The sequence below is a fragment of the Homo sapiens genome, chromosome 7 (genome assembly GCF_000001405.40).
Source record: "Homo sapiens chromosome 7, GRCh38.p14 Primary Assembly".
In the NCBI taxonomy this organism is placed as follows: domain Eukaryota; kingdom Metazoa; phylum Chordata; class Mammalia; order Primates; family Hominidae; genus Homo; species Homo sapiens.
Window position 1 is genome coordinate 77109834 of NC_000007.14, and position 18181 is coordinate 77128014.

The 18181-nt window shown below is 38.3% G+C and overlaps 1 protein-coding gene, 1 long non-coding RNA gene and 2 pseudogenes across 5 annotated transcripts in view, besides 3 other annotated features; 1 reads left to right on the forward strand and 3 right to left on the reverse strand.

Annotated features, from left to right (window-relative positions):
- The window catches only part of FAM185BP (family with sequence similarity 185 member B, pseudogene), a 40635-nt pseudogene extending 28179 nt beyond the window's left edge, over window positions 1-12456 (reverse strand). Inside the window, exons 1-4 of the transcript NR_146190.1 lie at window positions 11833-12456; window positions 9684-9793; window positions 3558-3650; window positions 105-243 (exon numbers count right to left, since the gene is read on the reverse strand). The product of NR_146190.1 is annotated as a family with sequence similarity 185 member B, pseudogene (transcript). The remainder of the gene's footprint in view (window positions 1-104; window positions 244-3557; window positions 3651-9683; window positions 9794-11832) is intronic.
- Window positions 5516-6375, reverse strand: RPL7AP43 (ribosomal protein L7a pseudogene 43; annotated as a pseudogene).
- Window positions 11571-12072: an enhancer, noted in NCBI's record as "H3K27ac hESC enhancer chr7:76750721-76751222 (GRCh37/hg19 assembly coordinates)". NCBI's record gives its function as "activates a minimal SCP1, AML or CMV promoter by ChIP-STARR-seq in naive H9 embryonic stem cells {active_cell/tissue: H9 hESC(naive)}" and the evidence as "EXISTENCE:reporter gene assay evidence [ECO:0000049][PMID:30033119]".
- Window positions 12073-12572: an enhancer, noted in NCBI's record as "H3K27ac hESC enhancer chr7:76751223-76751722 (GRCh37/hg19 assembly coordinates)". NCBI's record gives its function as "activates a minimal SCP1, AML or CMV promoter by ChIP-STARR-seq in naive H9 embryonic stem cells {active_cell/tissue: H9 hESC(naive)}" and the evidence as "EXISTENCE:reporter gene assay evidence [ECO:0000049][PMID:30033119]".
- Window positions 12468-12567: a silencer, noted in NCBI's record as "silent region_18317". NCBI's record gives its function as "represses an Ori minimal core promoter by ATAC-STARR-seq in GM12878 lymphoblastoid cells {active_cell/tissue: GM12878}" and the evidence as "EXISTENCE:reporter gene assay evidence [ECO:0000049][PMID:35858748]".
- The window catches only part of CCDC146 (coiled-coil domain containing 146), a 172590-nt gene continuing 167190 nt past the window's right edge, over window positions 12782-18181 (forward strand). For all 3 annotated transcript variants that reach the window (XM_047420662.1, NM_020879.3, XM_047420664.1), the window contains exon 1: window positions 12782-12899. The gene's annotated coding sequence lies outside the window, so the exon portion shown is untranslated. The remainder of the gene's footprint in view (window positions 12900-18181) is intronic.
- The window catches only part of LOC124901678 (uncharacterized), a 40041-nt gene continuing 38532 nt past the window's right edge, over window positions 16673-18181 (reverse strand). The window contains exon 3 of the long non-coding RNA XR_007060391.1: window positions 16673-16939. This is a non-coding gene — a long non-coding RNA (uncharacterized LOC124901678). The remainder of the gene's footprint in view (window positions 16940-18181) is intronic.

Here is an 18181-nt window from a genome sequence, read left to right on the forward strand (position 1 = left end):
ATTTAAAAGGCCAGTTTCCTGATCCTTTTTTCAACTACAGAGTCATCTCTTAAAATTTATGCTACGTGGAAAGTCTCAGATGTATTACGCCTTTGTCAGCTTACCATGAACACTTCCTAATGTAATATCCCCAGCAGCAGAAGACAGAAATGATGATTCTGTATAAAGATACTTGGCTTTCAGCAACCCATCTTCGGTAGATACAGTAACAGAACTTCCCTGCAGTTTATCTATGGTCACAGCCTAGTAAGAGAAAGACTAATCAGTTCATTATAAAACAAAGACTGGTAAAAAGCCAAAATGCTACCTGTGGAATCAGTGGATAACTACATAAAATGTTACTACCTAGTACACAATCACTTTATTGACTCTGATTCCCTACCTCTAATTACGAGATTCTGAGCAATAGTGCATTCTCTGCAGAATATGGAACAGATCCAATACATTCCCCCATTGACTTAGGTCTCCTTTAATTTCTCTTAATGTTTTATATGCCCTATATAAAATTCTTAATCTTTTATTAGATTTATTCCTTTTAGATATTTTTAAGTGCTATTGTACAAGGTATCTTTTGAAATTTCATTTTATCCTAATTGACTTTGTATTTAATCTTAATCCAGCAACTTCACTAAACTCACTAATCCTAATAATTTATCTGTACTTTTAAAAATTATGTATGTGTTATTATACTGTCTACAAGTGATGGCTTCATTTCCTCCCTTCCAATCCTTATATTAATACTTTTTTTCCTGCTTTTTCTTTCTTTTTCTTGCCTTAACATCTGTCTCAGGCCCCCAATTCCACAGTGAATAGCAGCTAGCAGAAGCAATGGGACAGCAGGCATCCTTGTCTTATTCCTGTTCTCAAAAGAAAAGTTTACAACATTTCACCATTAAGCATGATGTTTGCTATAGATATTTTTAAAATAATTTTTATCAGATTAAGGACATTCCCTTCTATTTCAACTTTGTTTTATTGCTTTTGCTATTTAAATCATGAATAGGTTTTGAATTTTAGCACATACTTTATCTGATTCTATTGATTTATCATGATTTTTCTCTGTTAGTACATTAATGTAGTGAATATACTATTATTTCTAGAACTTTTCCACTTGACATCTAATAAGGCAGTAGCTTTCCACCAAACTAAATGGAAGGAATTTAAATTTACCTATTTAATGACAGAACAAAAAGTAGATTTAAAAATCAGTATCTTCCTGACAGAGGTATTGCTATAAATTTTCTTTTCTAGATGAAAAGAAAAATTTTTCACTTAGTTATTATGAATATATATATAAATACATATATATATAGTTCTTACAAATAATGAAAGCCAAGTTTTAAGGAAGTACTGTGGCTTTGTAGCCCAGACTGAGAGGAAAACTGACAACTATGTCATCAATTCACCAAATAGACGAAATGGGTTTCTGTGTTCTCTGTTAAGTTATAAAACTAAACTTAGATACTGAAATTAACACAATTTAAAAACAGTCATGTAGAATAATGATGCTATTATTTATAATGCTCATTTGATTCTCACAATCTTGTTAAGTGGACAAAGCAAATATCACCATCCTGTTTGCTGAATAATGAAACTGAGTCTCTGGGAAGCTAACTGGTAGGTCTAGAACCCGTCCAGTTATCTTTCCTGTGATTCCTTTACCTTTATCATCATCATCGTGGTAAGCATTACATTAGACTTAGCTATGTGCCAGACGTTGTTTTAAGTATTTTACCTGTATTAACTCATTTAATCCTCTTAATAGAGGATTTTTTGAGTTTGTTCTATTACTATTACCCAATTTTCCAAAAAACTGAGACACACAGAGGTTAAGTAATTTGTCCAGTTATAGAGCTTAGTGAATGGTGGAGCCAGAATTCAAACACAGGTAGTTTGGCTCTCAATATAGTGCTCTTAACTAATTCACTATATTTGTCTCTCAAATATCCAAATCACATTTCTATGAAAGTTGTGTATTAAAAGTTAATAGATTTCACAAGTATTTATTTTATGTTTTATAAAAACTACAAACTTAGAAATATACATTAAAAATCAATACTATATGTAATAAAAATAGGAAAAAAAACCTAGACTGATTCTTGAGTACATAACAAAACTCAATCAAGAAATAAAATTGTATAATAGCAAGTAAAACACATGAATATTCAGTAAACCATAAACATTGGAACAAATAAATAACTGAGAGGAAACAGTGGCCAAGATATTCAAGGTAGCAAATGATTAAGATATTAAATTCTTTGATACTTATATTTGATTGCAAATGTTACAATATTCTAGTAACTTATTTCAATAACATTAGCCATCATTTACTGAGTTTGAAGGGGCTGTAAATTTGTCTAATTTCCCTCTTGCACCTCCAAGACCACAGCAATCTAAAAAGTAAAACTAAATGCCATCTCAAAAAAGCTGCAGCATAAGGCCACACAGTGTCTTTCAACACTTTCCTAGTTTAATTTACAGAGTATTTTTAAATGTTTAGGTTTAAACAACCTCCCACGGGGTCTAAGAGAAAGGTGATGGAAGATAAAACAACAGAAACAATTACTGTTATAACCTACCTTGTTTAATTATGCCAACAATAATCTACATATAAAATATGCTCACAACTCCTCCCCACCAACTCTCTGAAAATAAAGCTGACCATGGAGTATAGCAAATTTGTAGGAAGGTGATGGAAGATAAAACAACAGAAACAATGACTGTTATAGTCTATCTTGTTTAATTATGCCAACAATAATCTACATACAAAATATGCTTGCAACTCCTCCCCACCAATTATCTGAAAATAAAGCTGACTATGGAATTTAGCAAATTTATAAGAAACAAAAAAGCTCTTGCAAATTGTATCAGTGTAAAATAAAAGGAAACTTTTTCTCAAAGATACATTATCAATCACATTTTTTAAATGACAATTTATAATTCCAAAATTATACCTTTACTCTTAATACTATGCTAAATAACCAAAAGCTACAAAAGGAGTTGATTAAAAAATACAAACTATCTTCCTATAACAACGAAAATCTCAATAGCTACTAAAAAAAAAAAAAAAAAAAAAGCTGTGAGAGAGCAGTAAAGCTATCTAATGGTGCCACCTTGTGGAAAATACTGAAGAAAGCTGAGTTTTGAAACATCCTTCAATTTGCCTAAGGGCGAAGTAAAAAGGTCTTAGAAAATACTCAAATAAACCTAACACAAGAAAAATCCAATCCAGTTACTGGTGATATTACTTAATCATCTATTTTAATCTATGATCATAAAAATAAAAATCTTTTCAGAACTTGAGTTAAATAGTAAGCATTTAAGTTTTTATTGATTCCAGACTAGGAACTAAGTAACTGTCAAAAGTATTAAACCACAAACTAAAACTTAAGTTGTATATTATTTCATCACTTCAATTTCAAATTTGAATTTACTTATGAACTAAAATGCATTAAAAAGGGAATGTTATGCTACGAACTTTGTAGAACCTACCAACTTAGTGAGCCAAATGGAAGCAAAGTTGCAATTACTAAAAAAAAAGAAAGTTTCAATCTTACACTTTTATCTGATGCATGAATATCTATATTTCCATAAACTGTTCCCAGACAGATCACTTTGCCTCCTTTTGTTTGAACATGCAATTTTTGACCCTGAAAGACAAATTTAAAAATACATATAGTGAAAAAGAGAGTAAGTGTGACTTATACTAGTGAAACATTTTCAATATTTCTGTATTAATACTGACAAAGCAACAAAAGAACAATAAGGAATGAAACAGAAACTCACTGCTTCGAATAATGACATCAACTGGAAAAAAATGTCAACTGCTGTTAAAGGGATTAAATAAGCCACTTGGACTCAAAGGGAAAAACAAGAGATACTTGGGTATTCTGGTAGCTTCACTGATGAAGGACTTGGGAATCAAAAATCACTGTGATCAGCTAACTAAATATCCACAGTGATGAAGATGACAATAATAATCAGTTACTATTCATCATTAATAACAATAATAGTTATCACTTATTTGGCATTTTCTCTGCACCAGATACCATGTTAGCTACTTCACATGAACTATCATTTAATCCTCACAACAAACCAGAGAGGTAAGTATTACATTTTTCCCATTTTACAGAGGAAGACTGCCAAGATTCAGAAAGGTAAATCACTTTATCAGGGTGACAGAAAAAAACCCAAAATCTAAAGTAACAATTAGAATCAAGTTCTGTATGATTCCAAAGCCCACACTCTTAACGCTGGACCGGTCTGAAGGACAGAATACACATTAGGTTAACAGCCCACTTAAACCTTCTAGCACAACACATCCCAGAAACTAAGTAAAAATGCCTCCGAGCACAAAACAGCAGTCACAAGCCAGTTAGCCTATTCTGCAAGACAGAAAACAAAAGTATGTGTATGTGTGTGTGTGTGAGTGACTTGATTTTGGACTTGGGAACTATGGCAAACACTACTATTGGCTCATCAAAATCCATTTTTTTCCAAAGTAAAAGCAGTATAGCTTGACCCATGGCAAGACCACATTTTCCAGCTTCCTTTACCTCTTAGGTGTTGTTAAGTTGTTACCAACATAACGTAAGTGGAAATGCTATATGCCATTTCCAGGTTGGTGCTTTTAGAACAAGTGTGCCTTCTCTGTGCTCTTCTCATTCCACCAAGTGGGTCCAGAATATAACAAGGCTCTAAAAGATGGCAGAGCCGGAAGACGGAAGGAACCTAGAATCACTGAATGAAAAAGACCCACCCATACACCTGGACACAAGTAAGAAATAAACTCATATTATATATGAGCCATTAGATGTTTGGTCTATTGTTTTTTGTTTTTGTTTTTAGACAGAGTCTCGCTCTGTCGCCCAGGCTGAAGTGCAGTGGTGAGATCTCGGCTCACTGCAAGCTCCGCCTCCTGGGTTCAAACGATTCTCCTGCCTCAGCCTCCCACGTAGCTGGGACTACAAGCGTATGCCATCACGCCAGGCTAATTTTTTGTATTTTTAGTAGAGATGGGGTTTCACCGTGTTGGCCAGGATAGTCTCGATCTCTTGACCTCGTGATCCACCCGCCTCAGCCTTCCAAAGTGCTGGGATTACAGGCATGAGCCACTGCACCCGGCCTAGTCTGATTTTTTTTAGAGTAATTTATTTTCCCTTAATCATTATATATGTCTTTAGTTTTATTACAGAAAGAGATATGGATCACTTGAGCCCAGATGTTTTCCCTTAATCATTATATATGTCTTTAGTTTTGTTACATAAAGAGATATGGTTCACTTGAGCCCAGATGTTTGAGGATTCAGTGAGCTAGGATCGTGCTACTGCACTCCGGCGTGGGCAACACATCAAGACCCTGTCTCTTAAAGAAAAAAAAATCTGTACTATAGCATGGTTAACTACGTTATGCCCAGAGACGTGAGTCTGAAGTCAAATTATATTTAATATACTCCTTATCAAATATGTGATAAACCTTTGAAAAGACTATCCACAAAGCACTTGTTTTTTTTATTTTTTAATTATTTTAATTATTTTTATGTACAGAAAACACAACAGTGTACATTTAACCCAGTTTAGTGGCAAGTTCTTTAGCCTTTGCCTTTTCGAGCTTGGCAATGTGAGCCACAGACTTGGGACCCAGGACATTGCCGTCCCAGTGACAGTGGGTCTCATCGTATCTGGCATTGTAATTGGTCCCGATAGCTTCCACCAGCTTAGCCAAAGCTCCTTTGTCTTCTGAGTTAACCTGTGTGAAGTCGACAGTGGTGTAGGTCTTCCTGTGAACTAGACATCCCAGTCTTGCCTTCCCCTTGATAATGCAGCAAGTGGCCCCCATTTTATGACACAGGACAGGCAGGAAAACAGTCAGCTCAATGGGATCCATGTCGTGTGTAGTCACCACCAGCGGAGCTTTCTTGTTATCCACAAAGGTGGTGACGGTGTTAACTCCTGCTCGAAAGACAGGTAGTCTCTTCATGGGGAGGTCCCCTTTGCCCACAACTCTGCCTGGGCCAACAGCCTCCACTTCTTCTCTTGCTTTGTCTCTGGTCTGTATTTGTGGGCCAGCTTAAGCAGCTGAGTAGCTGTTTGGCCTTCCAGGGCCTGGGTGAACTGGTTAATCGCAGGAGGCACTTTCAGCTGCTTATAGAGTATGGATCTCTGCCATTGCAACCTGATATAGCGGGGCCATTTCACAAAGCAGGTGAGGTCTCTTTTGGGCTGGATGTCCTGTCCAATGCCAAAATTCTTAGGCCTTTTCTCAAACAGGGGATTCACCACTTTCTTGGCCTCCTGCTTCTTCACAAAAGCAGGGGCCAGAGCCAACTTCTTCCCCTTGGCCTCCTTTCCTTTCGGCATCTTGGGCGACGGGAGGCGCACACTTGTTGTTTTAAGTCAAGAACTCTTAACCAAGCTCACATGAACTTACAAAATTATAAGTAAAATTTCATAGACATGCATTTTTTTCTTAAGGAGACAATTAGATTTTCTAAGAGGTCTAAGGTTCAAAAATAGTAAGAGCTACTGTTATAATTTAAAGCTCATCTAATTCCCCAAAAAATGTGAAGTTGATTATAGAATTTTTAAAAACATAAAACCAAATAGTTAAATGTTTAAATAAATCAGAAATTATTTAGAAAATAAATTATACTGCATTTAAAAAATGCAAATGTGTGACATTCAATTAGTTAAGGGTCTGTTGCCTGAAAAATTCACTTATCTTATTCCCTAAGGATGCTGTACAAATGTGGTCTTACCATATGTTTTGTCAGGACAATAAATAAAGGTGGAAAAAGCATGAGCTTGGAAATCAGAAAGACCCAAGGTCAAATCCCAGCTCAATTTTTTTTAGCTATGTGAACGCAAGTGAGTTCCTCAATCTCTTGGTGCCTTCTAGTTTCTTCCTTGTATAAAATGGAGAAAATTCAAGGATTAAATGAAGGTTTAGCTAAGATTCCTGGTACACAATAAGGACTTATTAACAGTAGTTATTATTATTGCTATGTAGGGCCGAGCATGGTGGCTCATGCCTGTAATCCCAGAACTTTGGGAGGCCAAGGTGGGGCGGATCATGTGAGGAAAGGAGTTCAAGACAAGCCTGGCCAACATGCTTGGCCAAAATTAGCCGAGCATGATGGTGGGTGCCTGTAATCCCAGCTACTCGGGAGGCTGAGGTGGGAGAATCACTTGAACCCAGGAGGCGGAGGTTGCAGTGAGCCAAGATCGTGTCATTGCACTCCAGCCTGGGCAACAGAGTGAGACTCCGCCTCAAAAAAAAAAATTTTTTTTTTAATATGCAGGTCAACTATATTTCAAGTCCTTAAGTTAATGAAAGAGAAACATATCAACAGGTGACCACTAATTCAAGGTAATGATATTATTGTACGATACTTAAAACTTAAACCAGATATTTTACCAAAGTGTTCTCATTTGTGAATTGAAGTTAGTTAAATCCTATGATCTCAAGGATAATTCTCTTAACCCTTGGTATACCATTAGTATCCACAGGCATAATTTTTCATGAATTTCTTGTTTTGAGCTATTTTATTTGTAAGAACTGATATTTCATGATTTCTGTTATTTCTTGGGAGGTCTTTCAAGGAATAAATAGAAAATGTACTTACTTTTAAAAAAATAGAACAAAACTCATTCTATCCTGTAATTACCATTAATTGGTCCACTGGACTTTTATAAACCTGAAATACATTATGGGATAATAGTGTTCTTATTTTTAATTTTTTTTTGCTAATTCATCATCCTAGGAGTTATTTCATCATTATTCATAAATTATTCCCAACTATGTTTTTTAAAAAAACTAAATAAGAAAACAGAAGAATGATGGACTTGCATAAAGCAATCATTCTCAACTGGAGATGATTTTGTCTCTAGAAGATATTTGGCAATGTCTGGAGACATTTTCCCTTGTCACAACTGAGGAGCATGCTACTGGCATCTAAAAGGTAGAGGGCAAAGATGGTGCTAAATATCCTATACTGCACAAGACAGGCCCCCACAACAAATCACCTGACTGAAAAGGTTTGTATTGCCAAGGCTAAGAAACCATTTTTAATTTTATGCCTACAATGGCATAAAAGAAGAAAATCAACAGAGAAAGATCTTTCAGAACTATCAGATTAATCAAAACATAAATGCAGAGACAGCAGTATACTAGATTCTAATTTTGATTGTGAAATTGGAAATCTCAAACTCTTGAGTCTTCAGAGGACAAGTCTAGATTAGTTTTCTGAAACTTAAGTATCAATGACTGAACAAAATATTTCTAAGGACAAAAAAGAATTATGATATCCTCACCTAGTCATTCAACATGAAGACCTTATTATACAATCTTTTACAACAAGAATCTGAACCAACTTATTTTGCTAGAAGGACTTGTGATGGTAATGTTAATCTTTTATGATATTTGTGCCAAAAATTTATTTGAAATGATTCATATGTGGACACATGCTGATGGCAGATACGCAAATAAAGGTGGATGAAAGAAAAAATATGTAAAAATTAAAAATGCATCAAATTATTCTAACTAGTGTTTAGAAATCTAAAAATGAAAATATTTTGCAATTATGAAGCAAAGATGACTGACTTCAACAAAATTGCATGCTTTCAAAGTTCACAAAAGTATCAAGTTTTGACTATGCAAATGCAAGAAGCACTAAGAGTAACGATAAGCTAGCACCTATCAGAGAGGTATTTCAAACTATTTACAGCTAACACCAGTCTAATCTTTAAAAAATTAAATATAGGTCAGTCATGGTGACTCACACCTGTAATCCCAGCACTTCATGAGCCCAAGGCAGGAGGATCACTTGAGCCCATGAGTTCAAGACCAGCCTGGCGCAATACAGTGAGACCCTGTCTCTACAAAGAAAACACTAAAAAAAAAAAAAATTAATTACAGCCGGGCGCAGTGGCTCATGCCTGTAATCCTAGCACTTTGGGAGGCCAAGGCAGGCGGATCACGAGGTCAGGAGATCGAGACCAGCCTGGCCAACATGGTGAAACCCTGTCTCTACTAAATATACAAACATTAACTGAGTGTGGTGGTGCATGCCTGTAATCCCAGCTACTTGGGAGGCTGAGGCAGGAGAATTGCTTGTACCAGGGAGTCAGAGGTTGCAGTGAGCTGAGATTGCACCACTGCACTCCAGCCTGGTGACAGAGTAAGACTCCGTCTCAAAAAAAAAAAAAAATTTAATTACAAAACAAGATGAATCATATGTTACTTTGCACAAATAACTACTTAATCCTTAAGTAATGAGCTAGCTACCTGGTACATTAAAAATGTGATTAAAGTCATCTAATATTTAAGCACATTTATAGTGCACAAAGATTCTTCCTTACTCTTTAATAAAATGGAAGAAAATCATTTGTGGAAACTAAAATTTCTTTAGTAAGATTTCAGAATACTAGGAAAATACTATTAGTTTCACTGTACACTTTGAAATTAAATCAAAAAGAAATTTGAGGCAAAACCTCAAAACTGCTATAACCTCTGTACTTTACTAGAACTGATTTCAAGGCAAAATGTTTGCCAAGGACTTTCTGAGAGATGAATAAATGACAATGTTCTGAAAAACAGAAGAATCTCTTGAGTTTGATAGTACGATTCATAGCTTAAGGCTTTTAAAAAAATAATAGTGAAATAAAATTAGAAAAATGCTATACCTTAACAGACTGCAAGATGCTAGTCCCATGCTCTGTTTCAATTTTGCAATTATCACCCTCAATACTTTGAACTTCTACACAGCCAGACCCTGATGACTTGATATCTAAACCTAGAAGTAAAAAAAGAAAAAAGCAAGTTAGTACTGCAGTTTATAAGCTCCAAAGCATTTTAACCTAGAAACCCAACTCCTCAGTTATGTCCATAATATTGCTGAATCCTGGAAAGTGCATACTGTAAAGGTAAGGGGTCTTCTACCACGGCAACGGGACCAAATACAATAGCCTTTCTGCCCGTTTTTAGAAACAGAGCAGTTATTTCTACTGGCCTAAATCACCTAAAGAGAACTAACATAGATGGGAAGTAAAGGAGACTACGATTCTGTTAAGTACTCCTGTGAAAGACTGTAGAAGCCTCTTCCCCAGTATATATGATCATGACTTAGGTTTTCAAATCCTATGTCTAACCTTTCATACTTAAAAAATGAAAATATTACCATGCAACTATATCACAAGGTATTTGAAGTAATTTTTTAAAAATGGGAACAACTTTGAAAAACCTAATATATACTATTAAAACTACAAGATTAGGCCATGAGCCGTGGCTCATGCCTGTAATACCAGCACTTTGGGAGGCCGAGGAAGGAGGATTGCTTGAAGCCCAGGAGTTCAAGACCAGCCTGGACAATGTGGCAAAACTCCCTTTCTACAAAAAAACAAAAACATTAGCCAGGCATGGTAGCATGCACCTGTAGTCCCAGCTACTCAGGAGGCGGAGGCGAGAAGATTGCTTAAAACCGTGAAGTCAAGACTGCAGTGGGCCATGATTGTGCACCTGTACTCCAGCCTGCATGGCAGAGTGAGTGAGATGCAGTCTCAAAAAAAACCAAAACAAACAAACAAAAAACCCCACAAGATTGTGGACAAATGGCAGTGGTACATGAAGCAAGTTTGGAAAATAAGGAATTACAAATGCCATCCTTGGCTGTCTATTTAAGATGTAACTGCAGGCATCGCTGTATACAAATTTTAAAAATTAAAAACGCTGATATTTAATTTGGAATTAACATAAATATTGATGATTTCTCTTAAAGTAGGCAAGACCCGCCCCCCCGACTTGATTCCTGAAACCACAAATAGTACCAAATCCTATATATTCTATGTTTTTTCCTGTATACATATCAATGATCAAGTTTAATTTATAAACTAGGCATAGTAAGAGATGAACAACAATAATAATAAATACAGCAATTATAACAATATACTGTAATAAAAGTTATATTACTGTGATCTGTCAAAATATCTTAATATTTTCCTACAACAGTTGAGGCAGGTAACAAACTCAGACAGCCAAACGGTGGATAAGGGAGGACTACGGCATCTACTATTTGGGCAACTGTAAGCATTATAAAAGATGATCTTAAAAATGCTAAATGCTATTATTATTACCATCATCATCATCATCAATATCTTCCTTCAGTCCCAGGAAGAATGACAGTCTGGGGAGCCCTTCCTAGAAAAGTGTGTGTACACAGTGGCTTGCCATTTAGGAAAACCTAAGAAAGGTATCTTGCAGGCATTATTATTGAAGCTTCCTAGGCAGGCTTACCATGTGTTTTTCTTCAAAGCTTGCTACTCATGGAAAACTTAGGCCAAAAAGAATGGAAACATAACAGTAAGAAGCTGGGCGCCCGTCTAAAACCAAATACTCAAACCAGGTGGTACCTGGAACATCCTATTGACAGGGCTGTTTTGGGACACACCCCCAGGCTGTGAGCAAGGGGAAATGTAGATGGACTGCCATACCATTGAATGAATTGTCAAGAAACTTCAACCTTGAAAAATAAGCCAGTTTGCTAATGACAACGGGATAAAGAAGAACACAAGCGGCTCCAGAAATAGAATTTGACCTGGATTATACCAAATCGTGTTTCCATTCGATGTATAAAATTTCTATAATTGGGAACCTAATTTTTTAAATACTACTCGGATACTCAAGAATAGAACAGAGGAAAAGTTGCATTTCCGAAGGGGCCAACTGTAAATTAGGTTTAGAAAGCCAGGACCAATTAAAAGTGCACGTCGACCAAATTTATTAAGTTCACTGTGCGTTCCCTGGGACCCAAACCCGTTTTCACTTCACTTCACTTGCCAAACTTCAGGGGCGCGTTCACCTCCACGGACGCCTGGGGGTGGATAGTATCAGACACAATGGCCATCTCCTCCAGATCCTCGTCGTACTTCACCTGCAGGCCGTCCAGGCCCCGCACGCCGCCCTCCACGCCGCACACCGCGACCAGCACGCGGTCGCCATCCGGGTAGGTGAGGGGGTCCAGGGGCCTCACGGCCAGGTGGCACGGGAGCCGCGCCCGCAGCCGACCGAACGGGCTCACCTGCAGTGTCCACTCCTTCAGAGTTCGGCGCGCCGGGCCAGGCGGAGGGACCTCAGTCTCCGATCCGGGCCAGCGCTCGCCCCTACCTGAGCTGTACGGCCTGGCTTGGCAAGCCCAGCAAGACCAGCGCCCAGCGCCAGCCCACAGTCGGACCTGACGGAGACAGAGACGGAAGCAGCCAAGCTCCCAACCTGAACAGGGGGCAAGCATGGCGCGCCTCTCTCGCCAGTCCTCAGAACACTTCAGCCACAGGGAGGGTCACTTGCCACGGCCAATCGACTTGGCCACTGTGCCGCCTCAAGTCAAATAGGAGACGTAAGTCAGGGTTTGCTGAAACAAGAGCGAGCCGGTTGGCTTGACTAGGCGATGTAAACATCAGCTGCGTAATCCCCAGGGGCAAGTTGGGATTTGAAAGCTCTGAACTCTGACCTGGACCCCTTGCCTAAGTCCACCCCCTTTCGCTAAGGCCGACGGGATACGTAGTTCTAAAGCGGTGGAAAGTCGCAGAGCTCCGCCTCTTAGAAACCACATATCCCAGGAGGCAATGCGCAGGGGAGCACGGGTAAGAGGGCAGGTGTTAGAATCGCTGGAAAGGCGGGCGCCCTTTGTTTCAAGACCATTGGCTATTGGAGGGGCGGTACATGGGAGGCCACTGGCCAATGGGAAGCACGGAAGGGGGCAACGAGGGTAAAGCTGCATGGTCACCTTGGATACCAAGGACGCGACTTCTTGTTTGGAGAGGGTGGAGCTTTGGAGTGAGACCCAGGAGGCCAAATCCCAAAGAGAAAAATAGGAGCCTAAATAAGGATCAGGACCAAGGGAAGGGGTAAGAAACTGCGCTTTTTAAGTTGACAACTAGGTGCAAACTAGGAGTAACCTATGTGGATGTCAAGATCCAAGCTTCACTAACCTAGTGCGGGCATCTCCAGGGCATGGAGAATGCCTTGGTAAGAGAGTAAAGAGCAAGATTGGTGCTTTTTGAGGGAATTGCCTCTTTGGAAGTGTATTCCCTCCTATATTCCAAATATAGGAATAGAGTACTTGCTCCGTCCTGACCCTAAGTGACCTTACTTTGGGTTTTAATTTGCTCACTTTAAAAATGTAGATGATAATACCTTCCTTGCCTTGCCTCAAAGGGTTTTTGTGAGGATCAAGTAAGAAAATGGATGGGACCGTGGTGCACAGTCTACCAAATTACCGTGTAAAGTACTGTATTTTTATTTCAACGTACTTAACATTGATTCTGAGTTACCAAGAAAATTATGAGAGATCAGAACTTGTTTTGAGAATAGCATTGATCTCTTTGACTACAAATGATCATCAGTTTTAGAGTGAAAAAAAAAAAGACACAAAAAAGAGAGTCACCATGGTGCGGTGGAAAGAGCAGGGACAAGGGTCAGATTATTTTCCTGGCTCTGCCACTGCTTCATCTGTGTCACCTAGACCTGTTTCTTTAGTTTTAAAATGAAGAAAGATGGTTCTAAATGACCCTATAAGGTGTGTGTGTGTGTGTGTGTGTGTGTGTGTGTGTGTGTGTGTGTGTGTGTGTGTTTACCTTTTATAATTCTATGGGCAGTAAAATAATGGGAACAGAAAGATTTATTTTCTTCTTTTTTTCTTCTTTCCTGCCTGGTTTCTCTCTCCCCCTCTGTGCCCCTACTTCCTCCTAAAATGTATTCCCTAAATTATTTAGCCAAGACACCTGCAAACACTAACATTTCATAAAATGCAAGTGCCTTAAAAAATTGAAGCCCTTACCCAAGTACAATGACCAGAATTCTTGGGGCTATCGTGATAGATAGACTGGGCTAAAGTTCTCATGGGTACAAGTCTCAGGTTCTCTGCTAGCCACTACCTTTTTAAAATTTTTAAAAATTCAGTGTTCTCTTAAGTTATCATTGCCTCTTTTCTGTCCTTCTAGTCCTTGCTCCCTCCTTATTCTTCTTTCGGTGAAGACTCACTCATTATAGGTGCTAGCTCAGGTTCAGCAAGGGCCCACTGCAATAGTTCTTTTCTTGTCTTTGTGTTTCATTGGTTATAATTATTCAGAATAATCTTCAAACTATTTTTTATGAAAATTGACAGGTGTAACTTTGAAAAGAAATTTGAAAAAGGCACTGGTTTAAGGAAGTTGAGAATGTACTCAAATTTTCTGTAGAAACACTAGACATTTTTAGATTAAATATTAATTCTTAATAGTTAATTCTGTGTCTATGGTAATTTTTCCGTTTCTGAGACAAACTAAGTTAATGGAATTGGCAACTGAACTATAATTTTCTATGTTGCATAATCATTATTTTACTTTTTCAAACAAAAACCAAATAGAATTGACTGAAAATTTACTTTGCTGATCATACAAGGTTGAAAATGGAGAAAATTATTAATATTAAGATTGGTATAAAATAGTTAAAGTTATAGACACTTAAAAACAGTATAATGAGTATCAAATCTGTCCACATATCAACAATGATTAATAAAAGTTGTATCTTCCATCCATATGACATTATAATTGTCAAACCATGTTCACATGCGTCATCTCACTGTATCCTCACTAATTAGGAGGGAAATTATTCTCCTCACACTATAGATGGGGAAACAGATTCAGAAACATTAAGATTAAGCAATTAGAAGGTCTGGCCCTTTTATCACTCTACCAAAACGTCCATTTTCCTGACACCTTTGAAGAAAAAATGAAATTATTCACCTCATAAGTAGAAAATTATATACAACTTTTTTCTCCTTATTTAGAGTTTGTTTCTAAGATATTTTCACATCTTAGTTTAAAAAAGCTATTTCTGTGGTCATGAACATATACTTCTGGTAGGAGTGTTAAGTTAGCACAAAATTTTTAGAGTTCAATTCAGCAATAAGAATGAAAAGCTTTTTCTATGACTCAGAAATTGTGCTTTTGGGGATGTAAGCATAAAATTAGGGATGCTCAAGGAATTATGTTTTATAGGGTTACTTGTAAGAGAAAATAATTGCATCAATTTAAATGCTCCCTGGCCAGGTGCAGTGGCTCATGCCTGTAATTTCAGCACTTTGGGAGGCTGAGACAGGTGGATCACCTGAGGTCAGGAGTTCAGGACCAGCCTGGCCAACATGGTGAAACTCCATCTCTACTAAAAATTAAAAAAATTAGCTTGGCGTAGTGATGGACACCTGTAATCCCAGCTACTCAGGAGGCTGAGACAGGAGAATCACTTAAACACAGGAGGTAGAGGTTGCAGTGAGCCGAGATCACACCACTGCACTCCAGCCTGGGCGGCAAGAGTGAAACTCTGTCTCAATAAAAAAATGTTAAATGCTCCCAAATAAGACAGTATTACATAAATTAGTATATAGCTGATATATTATGCAACAATTTAAACATATCTTGATATGGGAAATAGTCCATATATAAAGTGAAAAGAATATATACAAAATTGCACGTATAGTATGATCTCAATTGTGTAATAATAATAATAAATTTAACATAAAATTATACTTTACAGAAACAATTCCAGAGGGATATATACCACTTGATAACAGTTGTTATCTTTAAGCAGTGATATGATGAGTGGTTACTGCAATTTTTTGTGTGTTATCAATAGTGAAAATATATTACATTTATAAGAAAACAATTTTAAAGCATTTCTTAGCATATATTGTTTCCTAAAACTGACTCAAATAATCAGATGGGCAGAAGATTTCTTACCATCTAGATATAAATGTCAACGAATATTTTATTTAATGATTTATGTTCAATAAATGGACAGCAGAGGTCATAAGAGAGTTTTCAGAAGAAAAGGTAACCAAAACAAAGAATTCAGCAATTTAGCTTAAGAGAAAAGCCATAAGAATTTAACTTTCTGAATTATAAACTATTTAAAAAGAGATATATCTTATGACTTCTATTATTCTTATGAAATATTAATAAACTCAACAATCTTAACTAATAACTATCAACATTGAGAAGTATTTAATGAATATATATAGGTACTAATTCTATTTGAAATCTCTATGTGAAACTGCAAATAGACAGTTTTATTTCTTCCTTTCTCATCTGTATGGCTTTTCTTTCCTAGTGTTATTGCACTGGCTAAGACCGCCACTACAATATTGAGTTGGAGTGGCAAAAGCAAAAATCCTTGATTTATTTCCTATTTATGAGGGAAATTTCAACAACAATTAGGAAGTTAGCAGTAGATTTTTAAAGATGCCCTTTAGCAAGTTAAGGAAGTTTACTTTCTAATTTGCTTAGACTTTTTATCATAAGTGAATGTTGCATTTTGTCAAATGCTTTTTCTGTATCTATGAAGATGATCATATTGTTTTTCTTCTGATTTATTGATATGTGTATTACAGTGATTGATTTTCAAGTGTTTCATTCCCTCAATAAGCTACATTTCATCATGTTATTGTCAGGGAGTTTTGGGTTGTCAATTTCCTGGCCAGAAACCTCTGTGGCCACAGCACCTTTGCCCGAATTCTTGTCCTGCATCCAGGAAGAATGAGGTACGCAGACAAGTGAAGGGTGAACGAGACGAAGATGAGCTTTATTAAGTGTTACAAGAGCTCAGAGGAGACCCACAGTGGGTAGCTCCTCTCTGTAGGAAGATCATCTGTCCAGCATTCAGTTCTCATTAGAGAGGTGGCCCTGGAGAGGGTAGCTCCTCTCTACTACTGGTTGTCCCAATGTCTGCAGCTCTCAGTGGAGAGGAGGCCCTGGAGAGGGTGCCTCCTGTCTGCTGGCAGGTTGTCTCTGAAGCTCTCGGCAGAGACGGTAGCTCCTTTCTGCAGCTGGTCCTTGTGTAGTCTGTCTATCCTCTTCGTCCTTTGGCCATCGTCTGCCCTGCTCTGGCTGAGCCCAGGGCTTTTATGGACCTCAGAGGGGAGGAAGTGCATGCTGATTGGTCCATGGGCAGCCATGGGCTGCTGGAAGAGGCCCCATGAGTCCCCAAACTGGTATGCAGGACCAGCAGTTGGCCCCCAGCCTTCAGGCCCTCCCTGGACTGAAGGTAGAGCCTTACTGGGGACCTGCCCCCTTCCACCCAAGAATCTGTCTGCCTCCCGCTGCCATTCATGGCCCCAGGGCTCAACCCCAACCCCACTCCAAGATCTGAGCCAGCTCCAGGAGAGGAGAGAGGTCAGGCAGCGGGAGCAGACACCCCAAGCCTGCAGGGATGGGGGGCCTTCCGGGGCACCAGAGGGTACAGGCTGCAGAGATGCCTGGGTCCCGTGGGTGAGAGGGCAGTGGCAGCTGCACCCAGGGAGCTCCCGCAGGCCAACTCAGCAGGGGCGGGATTCCCCAGCTCCTGCCTGCTCCATGTTGTGGGAGGCCCAGGTCAGCAGCTGCTGGTCAGGCGGCTGCAGCTGCACCCAAGAGGGCAGATCCTGCCTGTTCCCAGCCCCACTTCAAGAGCGCAGGGAGGCTCAGATCTACAGCTGCAGTTTGGGCGGCTGTAGCACCGTCCAGGAGGGTGGGGCTCCTGACTGCCCCATGGAGTGGGAGGCCTGGGTCTGCAGTCTCAGCCTTTCCTCCCTACTGCAGCCAGCGTGATGGCACCAGCCACTGCCATCATTATCTTTTCTATAAATTGCTAGATTCAACTTGCTAAATTTGTGAGGATTTTTACATTTTATTTTCATGAAGGATATTGGTCCAAAGTATTCTTTCATGTCTTTTTCTGGTTTTGATATTAGGGTAAAATTAGAAGGGCAAATGTTGCCTCTTTTATTTTATGGAAGATTGTTAGAATATTGTTAATATGGTTTAGTTTTATTTGTCCTGCTCAGAAGTCAATACGCTTTCTTTGTCTAAAGTCTCCAATTTATAAACCTTCAGCGTTTCCTTGCTCTTTCTATTCTTTACTTTTGGAGCTCTCATTTAGACATGTATTTTAATTTCTCATTCTGTCATCCATATCCCTTAACTGTGTTTATATGATTTATGCCTCTTCATCTTTTCGTATTTCATTCTGGATGATTTCCTCAAATCTATGTTCTAATTCATTAATTCCTTCCCAATCTTTGCTAATCCATTGTTTAATATCTGCATTGAATTTTTCATCCCAATGACTATATTATCATTTCTAGAATATTTATTTGGTTCTTTAAAAAATCTAT